We start from the raw sequence: 20,398 nt of genomic DNA, 5'->3' as shown, positions 1-20,398 counted from the left end.
AGCATAGCAGTCTTTTTTTTTTTTTTTGAGACGGAGTCTCACTCTGCCACCCAGGCTGGGGTGCAGTGGCATGATCTGGGATCACTGCAACTTCTGCCTCCCATGTTCAAGTGATTCTCCTGCCTCAGCTTCCCGAGTAGCTGGGATTATAGGCATGAGCCACCACACCTGGCTAATTTTGTTATTTTTAGTAGATGGGGTTTCACCATGTTGGCCAGGCTGGTCTTGAACTCCTGGCCTCAGGTGATCCACCGCATCACTCCCCCAAAGTGCTGGGATTACAGGCGTGAGCCACCGCGCCCAGCCCAAGACAGCAGTCTTTTGTCTGCAGGCTCACACAGGGACACACACGATGCACAGGTGGCTTCTGATGGCCCAGCCTGGGTCCTCTCTTCTTTCAAATAGGAGAAAAAAATGTTTCCTTCTATTCCTTTGCCGGGCTAGTAACCAGTTTCAGCACCTTCCTGCATTCCTGGGGAGGGAGGCTGTGTCCGTTTCTAGGAGGAAACTCATGTTTCAATCTCAGCCTGTGGCCGATTCCCCGTGCTGCATCTGCAGGTCTGGCATCAAAATGTCGCTTGACAGATGATGGCCCCTTCCCTTCCCCAATCATTTTCAAGGCCTGGGCCTAAAAAAGGGGTCTTATAGGGACCCAGGGCTCCTCCAGCACTGAGTCCTTGAACACACAGGAAGCTGCAGCCTCATAAATTGGAGAACTGGGTGGGGAGGCTTGGACTGTGCCTGACCCTTGGCCTTGGTGGGAATGGCATGGAGAAGTGTCACCTGCCTGAAAGTGGGCAAAAGCAGAACCGGTCTGAGCCGGCTCTTTGTGTGATCGCTGCGGCCATTCTTGGGATAGGAAGTGCACCTCCCTCCCTGGGGCGAGGATGGCCACAGTCCTGAGGTTGTGGGTGGAGGCAGGACTCCCTTTCCTGAATCCAAGGCCACAGATACGACTTTCCAAAGCTGGTCTGGGAGACCTGGCCATGGAGGTCCACTGGTCCTGAATATGATGGGAGCCTGGGGAAGGTCGGGGAGGCTAAACCATTTAGCTATGGGCTGGGCCAGGCCAGCCCTTCTGGTGTCTGGTCCAATGGTGGGCCCTGGAAGTTATGTCTCCTGGAACCTGGGGATATGACTTTATCTGGAAAAAGGGAGCTGGGCGCAGTGGCTCATGCCTGTAATCCCCAGAGCTTTGGGGGGCCAAGGTGGAAGGATCGCTTGAGGCCAGGAGTTCAAGACCAGCCTGGACAACACAGTGGGACCCCGTCTCTACAGAATAAAAATAAAAAATTAGCCAGGTGTGGGGGTGTGCACCTGTAGTCCCAGCTACTCAGGAGGCTGAGGCAGGAGGATCGCTTGACTCCAGGAGTTCAAGGCTGCAGTGAGCCATAATCATGCCATTGTACTCTAGCCTGGGCAACAAAGTAAGACCCTGTCTCAAAACATAAAAAAGGATCTTTGCAGAGGCCATTAAGTTAAAGGCCTCAGGATCATCCTCAATAATCCAGGAGGGCCCTAAATCCGATGACAAATGTCCTTAGAAGAGGGGGTCGGGCGTGGTGGCTCACACCTGTAATCCCAGCACTTGGGGAGGCCGAGGCAGGCGGATCACTTGAGGCCAGGAGTTTGAGACCAACCTGGCCAACACAGTGAGGCCCTGTCTTTACTAAAAATACAAAAATTAGCTGGGTGTGGTGGCATATTCCTATAATCCCAGCTACTTGGGAGACTGAGGCACAAGAATTGCTTGAGCCCGGGAGGCGGAGGTTGCAGTGAGCAGAGATAGTACCACTGCACTCCAGCCTGGGCGACAGGGTGAGATTCCGTCTCCAAAAAATAAAAAAATAAAAAGAGGAGAGACACATGCCACCTGAAGACAGAGGCAGAGATGGGAGTAATGTGGCCATGAGCCAAGGGAGCCACCAGAAGCTGGAGGAGGTAGCCAGGATCTTTCCCTAGAGACTCCAGAAGGAACCAGCCCTGTGGACACCTTGATATCCGACTTCTGGCCTCTGGGATGATAAGAGAATAATTCCTGTTGCTTCAGCCATACGGTTTGTCGTACACTGTTATGGCAGTCCCTCCTAGGAAATGCATACAGAGATAATGTTGGAAAGGGGGCGGTGCCCATGCGGAGGTCAAGCCTGCAGTGTCTGTCCAGAGCCAGCTGGACACCCAGACAAGACAAGGAGGCAGCTTAGCTTCTCCCCAAGGGAGGCATGGAACTGTAGCAACAGTATCTGTGTCATCTTCCCAACAAGGTACCCTGAATGCTTCCTGTGGGTCAAAATCTCTGCAATGTGGCAGATAGGATCGTGCAAAAGATGGACCCACGGGAAGAAAAAGAAAACCAAAGATAAGAGGTGGGGACCTTTGTGCACTGCTGGTGGGAAGGTAAAATGGTGTGGCTTCCATGGGAGACAGTATGGTGGCTTCTTAAAAAATTAAATGGCCAGGCGCAGTGGCTCACGCCTGTAATCCCAACACTTCGGGAGACCAAGGCGGGCAGATCACCTGAGGTCGGGAGTTCGAGACCAGCCTGACCAACATTGAGAAACCCCATCTCTACTAAAAATACAAAATTAGCCAGGTGTGGTGGCGCATGCCTGTAATCCCAGCTACTCGAGCTGAGGCAGGAGAATCGCTTGAACCCAGGAGACAGAGGTTGCGGTGAGCCGAGATCACGCCATTGTACTCCAGCCTGGGCAATAAGAGCGAAACTCTGTCTCAAAAAAAAAAAAAAAAAAAAAAAAAAAAAATTAAACATAGTGTCTGGGCGCAGTGGCTCACACTTGTAATTTCTGGATCACAGGCATGCACCACCACGCCCAGCTAATTTTGTTTGCTTGTTTGGTTGGTTGGTTGTTGGGTTTTTTTTTTTTTTTTTTTGAGATGGACTTTCGCTCGTCACCCAGGCTGGAGTGCAGTGGCCTGATCTTGGCTCACTGCAATCTCCGCCTCCTGGGTTCAAGCGATTCTCCTGCTTCAGCCTCCTGAGTAGCTGGGATTACAGGCGCCTGCCATCATGCCCAGCTAATTTTTGTATTTTTAGTAGAGATGGCGGTTTCACCACGTTGGACAGGCTGGTCTTGAACTCCCGACTTCAGGTGATCCACCCACCTCGGCCTCCCAAAGTGCTGGGATTATAGGTGTGAGCCACCACGCCTGGCCTTATGTTGTGTATTTTAACCCCCAAAATATGAAGTGAAAAAGGTGGGGTCTTCATGGAGAGGTCAGGGCCTGGAAGACAGGTGGGACAAGTGGCTGTTCCAGGTGTTTCTGATGAACCGGGTACACCCATGTGGGCAGGTGGTAGGAGTTGGGGGGCCACTGACTGCCTTGTGGGGGCTGAGGCCGAGGGGCCAGAGCAGCCCCTGACATTTGTCAAGGGCCACTCACCCACACCACTGCCTACTGGAGCCTGGGCACTGGGAAAAAGAAATGAAGCTAGAGGCGGAAGGTTCAGGAGAACAATATGCCTGTTTGTATCTTGAATATGAACCATCAGTTGAAATGATCATCAGTCAGGTTCAGACAGACAAAATCCTGGGACCTTTACAAATCCCATTGACACAGCAGCCCCTCACATGAGAATCTATAGTTAGTGGGGGATCCCTGTGAGTATCCAGGCCTTGGACCCTCTCAGATGCCATCTAAGTACTCATCCACCCATCAATGGATCCATGGATCCACTGATCAAGCCCATCCAATTCCATCCAATTTACCCATGAATCTATCCATTCGCTAATTGACACATCCACAAAATCTACCCATTTATTCATCCACCTACCCATGAATCTACTCATCCATCTATGAATAATCCATGTATCTCTCCATCCATGAATCCATCCACCCATGAATCCATCTATCTATCCATCCATCCACCCATCCACACACCCACAAATCTACTCATTTATTCGTCCACCTACCTATGATTCTATCCATTCACTTGTAAATCCATCCACCCAAGAATCCATCTATCCAGCCACCTGTGAATCCACTCACCCATAAATCCATCCACCCACCCATCCATCCATCCATCCATCCATGAATCTATCCATCCACCCATTCATTATATGAATCTACCCATTTATTCATTCACCTACCCATGAATCTACCCATCCACCTGTGATGGATGGATTCATGAGTGTATGGGTAGATCCACTCATGAATGCATCCATCCACCCATGAATCTACTCCCCCATGAATCAATCCATCGATCCATCCATCCATCCATCCATCCATCCATCCATCCATCCATCCATCCATCTATCCACCCACCCATTCATGAATCTATTCATCCATCCACTCATGAATCCATTCACCCAATAATTCATCTATCCATCCATTCAGCCATCCATGCATGAATTCATCCATCCATCCATCCATAAATCTGTCTATCCATCTACGTGCAAATCCATTCACCCATGAATCCATCTGTCTCTCTAACCATCCATCCATCCATCCATCCATCCATCATCCATCCATCCATCCATCCCCTCATGAGTCCATCCACCCACCCACCCTTCAGTATTTCCATGCACGACCACCTCACTTTGCAGCTCTGTACCTGTCATTTTCTGGCTAAAGGAGCACATGTTTGGCAAAGGCCAGAGTCCGCATCCCCACTGCCTGTGACACCCCCAAGACCTACCAAATTAGAAACTTTATCAAGACAGGAAATGGGCTGGGCTGTCCTTGCCTGTTCTCGGTAAAGCCCACTACCTCTAGCCACGTCCCCCAGCCCCTGCCCACATTTCCTACTTCAACCTACTGTTCCAGACCTTCACCTCAAAGACCTAAAAATCACACTCGCTCTCCCATACAAAGCATAAACATCCACACAGCCATGATCTCCACATCTCACTCCCATGTGTGTGTCAGGAAGCAACAGTGCGTGGGGCCAGCTCCCACCAGTGGGGACCCCAGGGACACCTCACCCTCTCACGATGCCACTCTCTAGGTAGCTGACTTGGATGAATTTCCCAAACCGGCTGGAGTTGTTGTTGTGGGCTGTCTTGGCATTTCCAAAAGCCTGCAAGGAAATCAAAAGCAGGTTTCAGATCAGGAGGGTGGAATTTCTTTTTCTTTTTTTTCCTCTCATTTTACACTGTGCTTTTATATTTTGTATTGTTCAATTTATCTATTTTTTCTCTTGGAGACAGTCTTGTTCTGTCACCTGGGCTGGAGTGAAGTGGCACAATCTTGGCTCACTGCAACCTCTGCCTCCCGGGTTCAAGCAATTCTCATGCCTCAGCCTCCTGAGTAGCTGGGACTACAGATGTGCGCTACCATGCTGGCTAATTTTTGTATTTTAGTAGAGACGGGGTTTCACCATGTTGTCCAGGCTGACGTAGAACTCCTGAGTTCAGGCAATCTGCCCGCCTCAGCCTCCCAAAGTGCATGAGTCACTGTGCCCAGTCTCTATTTTTTCTTTTTCTTTTTTTTTTTTTTTTTTTTTTGAGATGAAGTCTCGCTCTGTTGCCTTGGCTGGAGTGCAGGGGCGCAATCTCAGCTCACTGCAAGCACTGTCTCCCGAGTTCAAGCGGTTCTCCTGGCTCAGCCTCCCGAGTGGCTGGGATTACAGGCGCACGCTGCCACGCCTGGCCAATTTTTTGTATTTTTAGTACAGACGGGGTTTCACTGTGTTGCCCAGTCTGGTCTCGAACTCCTGAGCTCAGACAATCCGCCCACCTTGGCCTCCCAAAGTGCTGGGATTATAGGCATGAGCCACCACCCCTGGTCTCTTATTTTTTCTTTAACTGTTCCTGCAAAGTAGGGCTACCCAGTAAGCAGAGAGTAGCCCATTTTCTTTCACTCTTTTTTTTTTTGTTTGAGACAGGGTCACACAATGTCACCCAGGCTGGAGTGCAGTGTTGCGATCTTGGCTCAATGCAACCTCTGCCTCCCAGGCTGAAGCGATCCGCCTGTCTCAGCCTCCTGAGCAGCTGGGACCACAGGCATGCACCACCACGCCTGGCTAATTTTTTGTAGAGATGGGGTTTTGCCATGTTGCCCAGGCTGGTCTGGAACTCCTGAGCTTAAGTGATCCACCCGCCTCGGTCTCCCAAAGTGCTGGAATTACAGGCATGAACCATCATGCCCAGACTCGGTTTATTTAATTAATATTTTCCAGATTGTGACATAATTTGCAAAAACATCATTTTATCTGTTGTCTAAATAAACTTTATTTTTTAACCTTTTAATATTATTTTTGAGATGGGGTCTCGCTCTGTTGCCCAGGCTGGAGTGTAGTGGCATGATCTCAGCTCACTGCAACTTCTGTCTCCCAGGCTCAAGGGATCCTTCTGCCTCAGCCTCCCAAGTAGCTGCGACCACAGGCATGCACCACCATGCCTAGCCTTAACTTTTAAGGTTTTGGGGTACACACGCAGGTTTGTTAAGTAGGTAAACTTGTATCACAGGGATTTGCTGTACAGATTATTTTGTCACCCAGGTACTAAGCCTAGTATCCAACAGTTATTTTTCTTTTTCTTTTCTTTTTTATTTTGAGACAGAGTCTTGCCCTGTTGCCCAGGCTGGGGTGCAGTGGCACGATCTCGGCTCACTGCAACCTCCACCTCCCAGGTTCAAGCGATTCTCCTGCCTCAGCCTCCCAAATAGCTGGGAATACAGGCGTGTGCCACCATGCCCAGCTAATTTTTGTATTTGTAGTAGAGACGGGGTTTCACCACGTTGGCTAGGATGGTCTCGATCTCTTGACCTCATGATCTGCCCGCCCCGGCCTCTCAAAGTGCTGGGATTTACAGGCGTGAGCCACTGTGCCTGGCCCCAATAGTATTTTTTCTGCTCCTCTCCCTCCTCCCACCCTCCAGGAGGCCCCACTGTCTGCTCTTCCCCTCTGTGTGTCCATGTGTTCTCACCATTTAGCTCCCACTTGAAAGTGAGAACATGCAATATTAGGTGTTCTGTTCCTGTGTTAGTTTGCTAAGGATAATGGGCTCCAGCGAGGATGGAGCTTCTATAGGCCTCAGCCTGGAGCCCTGGGCCTCCCTCCTTCTCGGCTTTGAGGACACTCACTTGTCCCCAAGACAGTAGGCTATAAGTCACTTAGAAGCCCAGATAAGACCTGAAAAATACAGAGGTGTATAGCCAAGGCCCATTCCAACATTTCACTCTTTATCTCTGTGTCTGAGGTTGTGTGTGGTGCTCAAGTTTGTTTGTTTTTTTTTTGAAACAGAGTCTTGTTCTGTTGCCAGGCTGGGGTACAATGGCACGATCTCAGCTCACGGCAATCTCCACCTCCCGGGTTCAAGCGATTCTCGTGCCTCACCTTCCCGGGTAGCTGGGATTACAGGTGTGCACCACCACGCCTGGCTAACTTTTACATTTTTAGTAGAGACGGGGTTTTCCCATGTTGTCCAGGCTGGTCTCGAACTCCTGACCTCAGGTGATCTGCCCGCCTTGGCCTCCCAAAGTACTGGGATTACAGGCATGAGCCATCATGCCTGGCCGGTGTTCAAGTTTTAAGTCTCTGACATTAAAAATGGCAATTGCCTGAATTCTTTTCAGTTGTAACCATTCATCTGATAGGGTAAGCCACACCCTGTGGGCCAAATCTGGTCTGATGCTTGTTTTTTTAATCGCCTGCGAGCCAAGAATGGTTTTCACATTTGTAAATGGTGAAACAAGGAACAAACAAACAAACAAAAACCCAAAGAAGAATATTCCCTGACGTGAAAAACCTCTTCACATTTCAGCGTCCATCAATGAAGTTTTATCGGTACATGCCAGGCTCATTCAATTGTGTTGCAACAGAGACTACCATCTAGTCTGCGAAGGTGCAAATATTGCCTATCGGGCTCTTTGTGGCAGGAGTTTTGGGCTGATCTGGATTCTGGGCTCACTGCTGGACACAAGGCAGGGTATGTGGAAGGTCCCTTGAGGAGCCCTAAAGTTTGGTGGGAAGATAAGTGGGTTCACAGAGCAATTAAAAAAAAATTGGCGTAAAACATGACATACAATTAACCTTCTTAAAGTGTACAATTCAGTGGCATTCAGTACATTCACAATGTTGTGCAGCCATCGCCTTTACCTGGTTCCAGAACATTCTGATCCCCCGAAAAGGAGACTGTCCCCATCAGCAGTCCCTCCCCATTTCCCTCCCCTAGTCCCTGACAACCACCAATCTGCTTCCTGTCTCTATGGATTTGCCTGTTCTGGGTATCTCAGGTCAATGAGGTCATACACTTATGGCCTGTTGTGTCTGGTTGCCGCTTCTTTTTTCTTTCTTTTTTTTTTTTTAAAAGGCAGGGTCTTGCTGTCGCCCAGTGGTGTAATCATAGCTCACTGCAAGCCTCGACCTCGTGGCCTCAAGCAATCCTCCTGCCTCAGCCTCCCAAATAGCTGGGACCACAGGTGCATGCCACCATGCTTGGCTAATTTTTAAAATTTTTTGTAGAGACCGCATCTCTCTAAGTTGCCCAGGCTGGTCTTGAACTCCCGGCCTCAAGCGATCCTTCCAACTCGGCCTCCGAAAGGGCTGTGATGACAGGCACGGTGGCTCACCTGTAATCAATGTTTCATTCCTTTTTCACAGGACAATCTTTTTGCTCTGTACTGAGGAGTCCACACATACAGGGAAGTGTGTGCAGTGCAGGGAGTGTGCAGGGGTCCCCTCTGGGGCCTTCCATGTAACCATCACCTGGATGAAGATGGGGGACACCTACACTCTGTCCAGATTCCTGGGGTGCCCCCTTCCCATGAGGGACTTACTGCTCCAGAGTGGTTAAGACGGAGCCCCTGGGGGAACTTGAGGCAGGGAAGGTGCCTGGGGCAGGACAGAGAAGCTGAGAAGAGGTGGTGGCTGGCGGAAGGTGGGGGCTCTTTCGTTTAGGAAAAAGAAGATGGGGTGAGGCCAGCAGGATGCGGGCTGTAAGGCCTTGTAGATGAGAGAGAGGCAGCAGAGCTGGTCCTGGGGCCTGGTGTTCCACTGTCCCAGTCCTTGTGACCGCTAGGTTTGGGGAAGAGGTAACATGGCAAGGGGAGGGCACAGGGGCAGGGGGCACGCCCTGCAGTCACACGTGGAAAGTTTGGCAGCAGTGATGCTCCCATTTGAGAGGCTGGGCCACCCAGGGGATAGGAGAGAGCGAGGCCACAGTGTGAAGGAAGTGGCAAGGCCATTGCCAAGGTCCCATTGTAGGGGGTGGGGTAGGTGGTGGCCAAGCACACCAGGGAGGCGGAAACCGGAGACACAATGACACAGAGAGACAGGATCTTCCTGAAGGCCTCATTCCACAGGGGGATGGATACTGGTTGTTATGGACTTCATGTCTGTGTCCCTCACACAATTTTTTTTTTTTTTTCTGAGACAGGGTCTTGCTCTGTTGCCCAGGCTGGAGTGCAATGGTGTGATCTCGGCTCACTGCAACCTCCACCTCCTGGGTTCAAGTGATTCTCGTGCTTCAGCCTCCTGAGTAGCTGGGATTACAGGTGTGTGCCACTGCGCTCGGCTAATTTTTGGTATTTTTAGTAGAGATGGGGTTTTACCATGTTGGCCAGGCTGGTCTCGAACTCCTGACCCCAAGTGATCTCCTTGCCTCGGCCTCCCAAAGTGCTGGGATTACAGGCTTGAGTCACCATGCCTGGCCCCCGACAAACTTTATATGTTGAAATCTAACCCTGGCCGGGCACGGTGGCTCACGCCTGTAATCCCAGCACTTTGGGAGGCCGAGGCAGGCGGATCACCTGAGGTCAGGAGTTTGAGACCAGCCTGACCAATATGGAGAAACCCTGTCTCTACTAAAAATACAAAATTAGCCGGGCATGGTGGTACATGCCTGTAATCCCAGCTACTCAGGAGGCTGAGGCAGGAGAAGCGCTTGAACCCGGGAGGCGGAGGTTGCGGTGAGCCGAGATCGTGCCATTGCACTCCAGCCTGGGCAATAAGAGTGAACTCCATCTCAAAAAAAAAAAAGAAATCTAACCCTAAGGTGATAGGTTGAGGAGGTGAGGTCTTTGGGAGGTGATGAGGTCACTTACATGGGGCCCTCATGAATGGGATTAGTGCCCTTATAGAAGAGAACCCCAGAGAGCACCCTCACTCCTTCCACCGTGTGAGGACATGGGAAAAAACACCATCAATGAACCAAGAAGAGGGCCTTCACCTGACACCAAATCTGCCAGAGCCTTGACCTTGAACTTCTCACTTTCAGAACTGTGAGAATATATTTGTTGTTTCAGCCACCTGGTCTACATGGTACAGTCATGCACTGCACAGCAATGACCATCAACGATGGACCACATATATGACGGTGGTCCCATAAGATTATAATACTGTACTCTTACTGTACTGCTTCTATGTTTCCATCCATGCATCCATCCATCCACCCATCCATCCATCCATCCAATCATTTTTTCTTTTTTTTTTGAGACAGAGTTTCACTCTTGTTGCCCAGGCTGGGGTGCAATGGCGCGATCTCAGCTCACCACAACCTCCTCCTCCCGGGCTCAAGTGATTCCCCTGCCTCAGCATCCCGAATAGCTGGGATTACAGGCATGCACCACCACACCCGGCTAATTTTGTATTTTTAGTAGAGACGGGGTTTCTCCATGTTGGTCAGGCTGGTCTCGAACTCCCAACCTCAGGTGATCCGCCTGCCTTGGCCTCCCAAAGTGCTGAGATCACAGTCCTGAGCCAATGTGCCCAGCCCCATTCATCCAATGTTTTTTTGAGACAGGGTCTCACTCTGTCGCCCAGGCTAGAGTGCAGTGGCATGATCATGGCTCACTGCAGCCTCAACCTCCAGAGCTCAAGGTGATCCTCCCGCCTCAAGCTCCCAGGTAGCTGAGACTACAGGCACGTGTCAGCACACCTGGCTTATTTTCTTGTAGAGAAGAGGTTTCACTGTGTTGCCCAGGCCAGTCTCAAACTCCTGGGCTCAAGCAATCTGCATACTTTGGCCTCTCAAAGTGTTGAGATTACAGGTGTGAGCCAAAGTAACCAGCCTATCTATCTATTTAGAGACAGAATTTTGGTCTGTCGCCCAGGCTGGAGTGCGGTGGTGTGATCTTGGCTCACTGCGGCCTCGACCTCCTGAGTTCAAGCGATTTTCCTGCCTAGGCCTTGCAAAGTGCTAGGATTACAGGAATGAGCCACCAGGCCTGGCCTATGTTTAGATACACAAATATTTACCATTGTGTTACAACTGCCCACAGTATTCAGTACAGTAACATGCTGTACAGGTTTGTAGCCTAGAAGTAATGGGTTATACCTATTTGTTTTTGCTTTTTTTGAGATCGAGTCTCACTCTGTTGCCCAGGCTGGAGTGCAGTGGCATAATCTCAGCTCACTGCAACCTCCACCTCCCAGGTTCAGGCTATCCTCCTGCCTCAGCCTCCAGAGTAACTGGGACTACAGGCGCGAGCCACCATGCCCGACTAATTTTTGCATTTTCAAATAGAGACAGGGTTTCACCAGAGTTCGGGGCCAGGCTGGTCTTGAACTCCTGACCTCAGATGATCCACCTGCCTTGGCCTCCCAAAGTGCTGAGATTACAGGCGTGAGCCACCGCACCTGGCCAGCTACATCTATTTGTATAGGTATAGCCTATTAGTGGTTACATATTAACACACCTATTAGTAGTATATAACCTACTAAACACCTACAGCCGAAGTGTGTAGTAGGTTATATCATCTAGGTTTGTGTAAGTTCATTCTAGGATGTTCATGTGACCACAATATCACCCAATGACGCATTTCTCCCATAGTTAAGCAATGCGTAACCATATTCTGTGACAGTAGCCCGAACAGATTAAGACACTGGCTGACCACTGAGTGGAGGCTTTTGTGGGGCAGCCTGAATGGGGAAGTCCCATTAAAAATGCAACTGAGTGGCTGGGCGCAGTGGTCACGCCTGTAATCTCAGCATTTTGGGAGGCCAAGGCAGGAGGATGGCTTGAGGCCAGGAGTTCAAGACCAGCCTGGGCAACATGGCGAAACCCCAAATCTAGAAAAAATTTAAAAAATTAGCCAGGTATGCAGCAATCCCTTTACTGGGCATATACCCAAAGGATTATAAATCATTCTGCGATAGAGATACATGCACACGTATGTTTACTGCGGCACTATTCACAATAGCAAAGACTCAGAACCAACCCAAATGTCCATCAGTGATAGACTGGATTAAGAAAATGTGGCACATATACACTATGGAATACTATGCAGCCATAAAAAAGGATGAGTTCATGTCCTTTGCAGGGACATGGATGAAGCTGGAAACCATCATTCTCACCAAACTATCACAAGATCAGAAAACCAAACACCACATGTTCTCACTCATAAATGGGAGTTGAACAATGAGAACACATGGACACAGGGAGGGGAACATCACACACCAGGGCCTGTAGGGGGTAGGGGGCTAGGAGAGGGATAACATTAGGAGAAATACCTAATGTAGGTGACGGGTTGATGGGTGCAGCAAACCACCATGGCATGTGTATACCTATGTAACGAAACTGCACGTTCTGCACATGTATCCCAGAACTTAAAGTATTAAAAAAAAAAAAAGCCAGGTATGGTGGTGGGTGCCTGTAGTTCCAGTTACTTTGGAGGCTGAGGTGGGAGGATTGCTTCAGCCCAGGAGGTTGAGGCTGCAGCTGCATTTGCGCCCCTGCACTCCAGCCTCGGCGACAGAGCGAGACTCTGTTTCAAATAAAAAAAAAGGATCTGACCATGGGAGGCCCAGATACTCCCTTGGAGAAGGCTCCATTCAGCTGCAAAGCCTCGGGCAGAGCTTGAAGCCCGGACAGTTGCTGTGGCTGGACCCATGTGCGGGTCACACTACTCAAGGAGCTGGCTGTTTGGGTCATGGGACAAGGAAACAGGGAGGAGCTCAAGATCATGGGGCACGGAGCCAAGCAGGAAGGTGATAAGGAGGGGGCCCCAGAGAGAGATGACCTGGTCCTCTACAGAGAAGGGGGTCTGGGAAGTAGCCGGGTGCTTTTGGTGGGGGCGGACTGGGTCACCACATGAGCCTTGCTCACCTCTTGTTGTTGTTGTTGTTGTTTGAGACAGGGAGACAGGGTCTCACTCTGTCGCCCAGACTGGAGTTTAAGTGGTGCGACCATAGCTCACTGCAGCCTCAACCTCAACCCCCAGGCTCAGGCGATCCTCCCATTTCTGTCTCTTAAGGAGCTGAGACCACAGGTATGTATCACCGCACCTGGCTTTTTTTTTTTTTTTTTTGAGACAGTTTGCTCTTGTTGCCCAGGCTGGAGTGCAATGGCACAATCTTGGCTCACTGCAACTTCTGCCTCCTGGGTTCAAGCAATTCTCCTGCCTCAGCCTCCCGAGTAGCTGGGATTATAGGCACGCGCCATCACCCCGGCTAATTTTGTATTTTAAGTAGAGACGGGGTTTCTCCATGTTGGTCAGGCTGGTCTTGAACTTCTGACCTCAGGTGATCTGCCCGCCTCGGCTTCCCAAAGTGCTGGGATTACAGGCGTGAGCCTCTGTGCCTGGCCTAATTTTAAAAATTATTTTTGTCGACACGAATCTTACTGTGTTACCCAGGTTGGTCTGGGGCTCCTGGACTCAAGCAATCCTTCCATCTCAGCCTCCCAAAGTGCTGAGATTACAGGTGTGAGCCACTGGGCCCGGTCTGACCTGTTGAACTTTGAAACAGTCTCTGGAGGGTCTGATGAAACCCAGGGGGCTGGTCGGTGGGCGGGAACCACCAAGGGCTCTGCTGGTGAAGTTGACTTTCCTGGGTGCCTATGGGACTTTTTGAGGGTGAACCATCCTGTGTGATGGGGGCGTCCTGTGCACTACACGGTGTTGAACAGCGTCCCTGGCCTCCACCTACCCGATGCCATCTGGGATAACCAAAGAATGTCCCCAGAGATCGGCAAATCACCCCGGCTGCGGAGCATTGATGTACACAGACAGAAATAAAAGGGGTTGCAGGGCTGGGTAGTCGGGGCTCACTGGTCCCTTTGTCCCTTCCATAGGTTCCCATATGTGCTGCATTCTAGGTGCTGAGGGGTCCCTGCGGTCTTTCTAGGTTTCATTTCCAGCTCTCCAGAGGGTAGCTGGAGAACTGTTTTTTGTTGTTATTTGGAGTGAAACCCCCAGTCTCGAGGCACTGACTCGTCTCCTTGGATGCTCACGGGACCCTGCAGGGCCATAGTCTGGAGCTCACGCAGGAAATCAGCTTCAGCCTGGGGCCCGGTGCCTGGGCCTAGGCCCTCCTCCTTGCTCCCTGCCTGACAGCACGAAGCCCAGCCTCACCTATGTGGTCCCACGACCAGACTCTCCTCCCCAGTCACCCTCAATTCAAAGAGATCTGTCAGGGAAACCCTAAAATAACGTCCCAGGAAGGGGCTCAGAAAGCTTCCCTGCTTAACTATGAGCAGATGGCAAAGGGATGCCTGTCCTCAGGGGTGGGGTGGGGGGGACAGTCCTGTTGGTGGCCCTGGGGTGTCTGCAGCAGGAAACGGGTCTCTCTCTGAGTCAGGGTCCCCGTAGTACCTTGGTGTAAAGCCTGGTCTGTGGCAGAGGTGCCCCAGAAATGTACATTTGTACCTTAAAGAGCCACAGTGCTCACTTTAAACCCAGGGGACAAGTCTCTGCAGTGACTTCTAATATCACAGCCAGGCCTGGTGTCTTGGGAACGTAACACAGGGAACGCCTTGGGATATGAGGGGCCCCTCCCACCACCATGGCTGCCCAAGGGCTGGCTTTCTGGTTCTGCGATTACCCGATTACCCCGTGCACCAATTATCCATGCATAGAGGCTGCTCCCAGGCCCGGTGACCTCACGCGTCTGGTATGCGGTCTCAGCACACTGCGACTTTTCAAAGCCCATCTAAAAATATCCGGTTGGTGCTATTATACATCCGAGGGGGAAGTGCGGCCCAGCGCTCGCAGCGAGGGGTGCTATTGTGTTGCTGCTTGGCTGGGCTGGCCGGGGGCTCGCACGGTCTCAAAGCACAAGGGTGGCTGGTGTGCCTGGAGTATCATGTGGGGTCCAGGGTGGACAGAAGGGAGGAAGTGGGACCCCGGTGTCAACAACTATGCGATATAATCTGGCACACGCACCGGGAAGGCGGATGCCATGGTCCCCCCAGGCTATAAAACCCACAGCGCTGGACTCACTCAAAACCAAAAAACGCCTCTCCTTTAACAGAAACACATTTTTTTTTCTTTTATAATATAAAAAACATGTTTCTAATATAAGTTGTAAACTTTGGAAAAAAATTATTATCTCACTAGGTCTAGCAATCCCACTTCTGGGTATATATCCAAAGGAAATGACATCAGTACGTGGAAGAAATGCTTGCATTCTCACGTTCATTTCAGCACTAATCACAATAGCCAAGACGTGTGCATCAACAGATGAATGAATAGGCTGGGTTCAGTGGCTCACTCCTGTAATCCTAGCACTTTGGGAGGCCGGGGTGGGCAGATCACTTGAGGTCAGGAGTTCGAGACCAGCCTGGCCAACATGGCGAAACCCCGTCTCTACTAAAAATACAAAAATTAGCCGGGTGTGGTGGTGCATGCCTGTAATCCCAACTACCTGGGAGGCTGAGGCAGGAGAATCGTCTGAACCCAGGAGGTGGAGGTTGCAGTGAGCCGAGATCGTGCTACTGCACTCCGACCTGAGCAACAAAGCAAGACTCCGTCTCGAAAAAAAACAAAAAACCCCACAGATGAATGGATAAAGAAACTGTGGTTTATATACACTATGGAATAGTATTTGGCCATAAAAAAGGAGATCCTGGCTGAGCATGGTGGCTCACACCTGTAATTCCAGCACTTTGGGAGGCCAAGGTGGGCAGATCACTTGAGGTCAGTTCGACACCAACCTGGTTAACGTGGTAAAATCTCATCTCTACTAGAACAGAAAAATCAGCTGGGCATGTTGGTGGGCTCCTATAATCCCAGCTACAGGGGAGGCTGAGACACGAAAATCGCTTGAAACCGAGAGGCAGAGGTTGCACTGAGCTGAGATCGCACCACTGCACTCTGGCCTGGGTGACAGAGCGAGAGTCTGTCTCAAAAAAAAAAAAAAAAAAAAAAAAAAAACAAACAAAACGAAAAAAAAAACAAAGAGATCCTGTCATTTGCAACAACATGGATGAAGCTGAGGGATACTATGTTAATAAGCCAGGCACAGAAAGGCAAATACTGCATGATCTCACTCGTGTAGAATTTTTAAAAGTTGAACTCATAGTGGGAAAGGGGAGGAAGGGAGTGAGGGTTGAAAAGTTACCTATTGGATACAGTGTTCACTATTTGAGTGATGGGTATTTTAGAAGCCCAACCCTAACCATTACCCAATATATCCCTGTAACAAACTACACATGTACCCCCAGTCCAAAAAAAAACTCACAGAAGTAGAAAGCAGGCCAGGCATGGTGGCTCACGCCTGTAATCCCAGCACTTTGGGAGGCCGAGGCGGGCAGATCATGAGGTCAGGAGATCGAGATCATCCTGGCTAACACGGTGAAACCCCGTCTCTACTAAAAATACAAAAAAATTAGCCGGGCGTGGTGGCGGGTGCCTATAGTCTCAGCTACTCGGGAGGCTGAGGCAGGAGAATGGTGTGAACCTGGGAGGCGGAGCTTGCAGTGAGCCGAGATGGTGCCACTGCACTCCAGCCTGGGTGACAGAGCGAGACCTCCGCCTCAGAAAAAAAAGAAGTAGGAAAGTAGGGCTGGTGCTGTGGCTGATGCCTATAATCCCCCAGCACTTTGGGAGGCAGAGATGGGAGGATCGCTTGAGGCCAGGAGTTTGAGACCAGCCTGGGCAACATAGTGACACCCCATCTTTACAAAAAATAAAAAGCTAGGTGTGGTGGGACACACCTGTTGTCCTAGATACTCAGGAGGCTGAGGCAGAAGGATCGCTTAGGCCCAGGAAGTTGAGGCTGCAGTGAACTGTGATTGCACCACTGCACTCCAGCCTGGGTGACAGAGCGAGACCCTGTCTCAAAAAAACGGAAGTAGAAAGTAGAATACTGGTTACCGGGGGTGGCGGCAGGGTTGGGGAGATGCTGGTCAAAGGATATAAATTTCAATTAGAGAGGAGGAATAAATTCAAGCGATCTATTGTATAACATGGTGACTGTAAATATTTTTGTATTTTGAAAATTCCTAAGAGAGAAGATTTTAAGTGTTTTCATCACAAAACATGTTGAGTATGTCAGGTAACGCGTACGTTAATTAGCTCCATTGACCCTTTCCACAATGTATACGTATTTCAAAATGTCATGTTGCACATCATGAATATATACAACTTTCATCAATTAGAAATAAAATAGGCCGGGCGCAGTGGCTCACGCCTGTAATGCCAGCACTTTGGGAGGCTGAGACAGGCGGATCACAAGGTCAGGACATCGAGACCATCCTGGCTATCATGGTGAAACCCTGTCTCTACCAAAAATACAAAAAATTAGCCGGGCGTGGTGGCGGCGCCTGTAGTTCCAGCTACTCGGGAGGTTGAGGCAGGGGAATGGCACGAACCTGGGAGGTGGAGCTTGCAGTGAGCCGAGATCATGCCACTGCACTCCAGCCTGGTGACAGAGCGAGACTCCGTCTCAAAAATAAATAAATAAATAAATAAAAAAGAAATAAAATAAGGCCTGGCGCTGTGGCTCACACCTGTAATTCCACCACTTCGGAAGCCAAGGTGGGTGGATCACTTGAGGTCAGGAGTTCAAGACCAGCCTGGCCAACATGGTAAAACCCCATCTCTACTAAAAATACAAAAATTAGCTGGGCGTGGTGGTGGCGCCTGTAGTCCCAGCTACTCGGGAGGTTGAGGCAGGAGAATGGCACGAACCTGGGAGGTGGAGCTTGCAGTGAGCCGAGATTGCGCCACTGCACTTCAGCCTGGGCGACAGAGCGAGACTCTGTCTCAAAAAAAAAAAAAAAAAAAAATAATAATAATAAATAAATAAATAAATAAGAAATAAAATAAGGCCTGGCACTGTCGTTCACACCTGTAATTCCACCACTTTGGAAGCCAAGGTGGATGGATCACTTGAGGTCAGGGGTTCAAGACCAGCCTGGCCAACATGGTGGAACCCCGTCTCTACTACAAATAACAAAAATTAGCCGGGCGTGGTGGCACAAGCCTGTAGTCCCTCCTACTTGGGAGGCTGAGGCAAGAGAATTGCTTGAACCCAGGAGGTGGAGGTTGCAGTGAGTCAAGATTGCACCACTGCACTCCAGCCTGGGTGACAGAGCAAGACTCTGTCTCAAAAAAAAAAAAAAAAAAAAAAAAAGAAATAAAATAAGCCAGGCACAGTGGCTCACAACTGTAATCCCAGCAATTTGGGAGGCCAAGGCAGGAGATCACTTGAGCCCAGGAAGTTCAAGAGCAGCCGTGAGATCCTGTGTCTACAAAAAAGAAAAAAATAGCCAGGCGTGGTGATGCATGCCTCTAGTCCCAGCTACTCAGGGGGCTGAAATGGGAGGATCACTTGAGCCCAGGAGGTTGAGGCTGCAGTGAGCCATGATTGTGCCATTACACTCTAGCCTAGACGACAGAGTGAGACCCTGTTCCCCGCCCCACCCCCCAAAAAAATTAAAGAAAAATTTTAAAAACCTCGTGAAAAGCACAGAAGAAAGAAATCCATAAAGCTATTGGTCATAATTCAGCTTCCCCCCAGTCACGGTTTCTAGGTAAAACTAACGTAGAGGCAGTCTTGCCTCTTCCTCTGACAGGGCTGGCCTAGGTGTGGGCCCAGTGGGGATGCCATGTGCCCACCAGGGACATTGAGGGCTGGAAGAAGTCTGGCCGCCTTCCAAACGCCCCTGCCTTTGAGATTTTTCTTCTGGGCAATTTAAAAAGGTTTCTTGAATTGAGAAAGTTAGAGAAGAATTATTCAATAGGGCCAGGCACAGTGGCTCACGCCTGTAATCCCAGCACTTTGGGAGGCTGAGGCGGGCAGATCACCTGAGGTCAGGAGTTCAAGACCAGCCTGGCCAACACGGTGAAACCCTGTCTCTACGAAAAATACAAAAATTAGCCGGGCATGGTGGCGTGCGCCTGTAGTCCCAGCTACTTGGGAAGCTGAGGCAGAAGAATCGCTTGAATGCGGGAGGCAGCGGTTGCAGTGTGCCGAGATCATGCCACTGCACTCCAGCCTGGGTGACAGAGCGAGACTCCGTCTCAAAAAAGGATTATTCAATGGTACTCATTAACACATGGGCAGGATGCCTTTATTCCCACTACTGTGATGGGGCCTTCCAGTGGGGGAGAATGATTGGGCTCAAATCTGAATATGGCTTGGGCAAGCGGGACTTTATAACCAAGGAGCAGGGTGGGGGTCAGTGGATGGAAAATTACTAAGAGGAAACACTGAGCATACAGCAGTTTCTAGCTAAACCGACCTAACAGGATTCTTGCTGAAGACAGGCCAGGGTGATCAGATAGTACCTGGGGTATGGGGGAAGATACAGAGCCCGATCAGACATCAAGGGTGATCAGCTCTCAAGGGCAGAGGGTTCCTGTTAAACTGACTTAGCAGGGTCTCAGCTGAAACTGGATTTTATAAAGAAGTGCACAGATGGGACTGGGACAAGGTTCAGGAGTCTAATGTTCAGTCAAACAGAGAATCTGTGAAAAGAGACATCCAGGGTTGAACGTCCTATGTAGGCAAAAATTCTAGATTTTTTTTTTTTTTTTGAGACCAAGTCTTGCTCTGTCACCCAGGCCAGAATGCAGTGGCTCACTGCAACCTCCGCCCCCCAGGTTCAAGCGATCCTCCTGCCTCAGCCTCCTGAGTAGTGGGGAGTACAGGTGTGCACCACCATGCCTGGTTAATTTTTTTTTTTTTTTGAGACGGAGTCTCGCTCTGTCACCCAGGCTGGAGTGCAGTGGCACGATCTCGGCTCACTCCAAGCTCCGCCTCCTGGGTTCACGCCATTCTCCTGCCTCAGCCTCCCGAGTAGCTGGGACTACAGGCGCCCACCACCACGCCCGGCTAATTTTTTGTATTTTTTTTAGTAGAGACAGGGTTTCACTGTGTTAGCCAGGATGGTCTACGATCTCCTGACCTCGTGATCCGCCTGCCTCGGCCTCCCAAAGTGCTGGGATTACAGGCGTGAGCCACCGTGCCCGGCCAATGCCCGGCTAATTTCTGTACTGGTAGTAGAGATGGGGTCTTGCTATGTTGGCCAGGCTGGTCTCGAACTCCAGTCCTCAAGTGATTCACCCGCCTCAGCCTCCCAAAGTGCTGGGATTACAGGTGTGAGCCACTGTGCCTGGTCAAAAATTCTATATCTTCTATCTAAAGGATGGCTCTCCTCTTGGTTGGAATGCCTGGTAACATTTTAGGGAGGCCAGGCAGGTGGCTCACATCTATGATCCAAGCACTTTGGGAGGCCAAGGCAGGAGGATCGCTTGAGGCCATGGATTCAGG

General features: G+C 50.2%; 1 protein-coding gene across 2 annotated transcripts in view, besides 6 other annotated features; it reads right to left on the bottom strand.

Annotated features, from left to right (window-relative positions):
* MYO9B (myosin IXB) overlaps positions 1-20,398 on the bottom strand; it is a 137,510-nt gene that overhangs the window by 62,852 nt on the left and 54,260 nt on the right. For both annotated transcript variants that reach the window (NM_001130065.2, NM_004145.4), the window contains exon 3: positions 4,944-5,038. In NM_001130065.2, the coding sequence (NP_001123537.1) occupies positions 4,944-5,038 (95 nt within the window). The remainder of the gene's footprint in view (positions 1-4,943; positions 5,039-20,398) is intronic.
* Positions 22-714: an enhancer, noted in NCBI's record as "H3K27ac-H3K4me1 hESC enhancer chr19:17260531-17261223 (GRCh37/hg19 assembly coordinates)". NCBI's record gives its function as "activates a minimal SCP1, AML or CMV promoter by ChIP-STARR-seq in naive H9 embryonic stem cells {active_cell/tissue: H9 hESC(naive)}" and the evidence as "EXISTENCE:reporter gene assay evidence [ECO:0000049][PMID:30033119]".
* Positions 10,902-11,196: an enhancer, noted in NCBI's record as "tiled region #10590; HepG2 Activating DNase matched - State 5:Enh". NCBI's record gives its function as "activates a minimal TATA promoter and a strong SV40 promoter by Sharpr-MPRA in HepG2 cells {active_cell/tissue: HepG2}" and the evidence as "EXISTENCE:reporter gene assay evidence [ECO:0000049][PMID:27701403]".
* Positions 14,225-14,834: an enhancer, noted in NCBI's record as "OCT4-NANOG-H3K27ac-H3K4me1 hESC enhancer chr19:17246411-17247020 (GRCh37/hg19 assembly coordinates)". NCBI's record gives its function as "activates a minimal SCP1, AML or CMV promoter by ChIP-STARR-seq in primed H9 embryonic stem cells {active_cell/tissue: H9 hESC(primed)}" and the evidence as "EXISTENCE:reporter gene assay evidence [ECO:0000049][PMID:30033119]".
* Positions 14,835-15,443: an enhancer, noted in NCBI's record as "OCT4-NANOG-H3K27ac-H3K4me1 hESC enhancer chr19:17245802-17246410 (GRCh37/hg19 assembly coordinates)". NCBI's record gives its function as "activates a minimal SCP1, AML or CMV promoter by ChIP-STARR-seq in primed H9 embryonic stem cells {active_cell/tissue: H9 hESC(primed)}" and the evidence as "EXISTENCE:reporter gene assay evidence [ECO:0000049][PMID:30033119]".
* Positions 15,444-16,053: an enhancer, noted in NCBI's record as "H3K27ac-H3K4me1 hESC enhancer chr19:17245192-17245801 (GRCh37/hg19 assembly coordinates)". NCBI's record gives its function as "activates a minimal SCP1, AML or CMV promoter by ChIP-STARR-seq in naive H9 embryonic stem cells {active_cell/tissue: H9 hESC(naive)}" and the evidence as "EXISTENCE:reporter gene assay evidence [ECO:0000049][PMID:30033119]".
* Positions 18,496-19,494: an enhancer, noted in NCBI's record as "H3K27ac-H3K4me1 hESC enhancer chr19:17241751-17242749 (GRCh37/hg19 assembly coordinates)". NCBI's record gives its function as "activates a minimal SCP1, AML or CMV promoter by ChIP-STARR-seq in primed H9 embryonic stem cells {active_cell/tissue: H9 hESC(primed)}" and the evidence as "EXISTENCE:reporter gene assay evidence [ECO:0000049][PMID:30033119]".

This window comes from Homo sapiens, chromosome 19 (assembly GCF_000001405.40).
Source record: "Homo sapiens chromosome 19, GRCh38.p14 Primary Assembly".
NCBI lineage: Eukaryota > Metazoa > Chordata > Mammalia > Primates > Hominidae > Homo > Homo sapiens.
The sequence above is the reverse complement of the archived record's forward strand: the minus strand, read 5'-3'. Positions and strand labels throughout refer to the sequence as shown.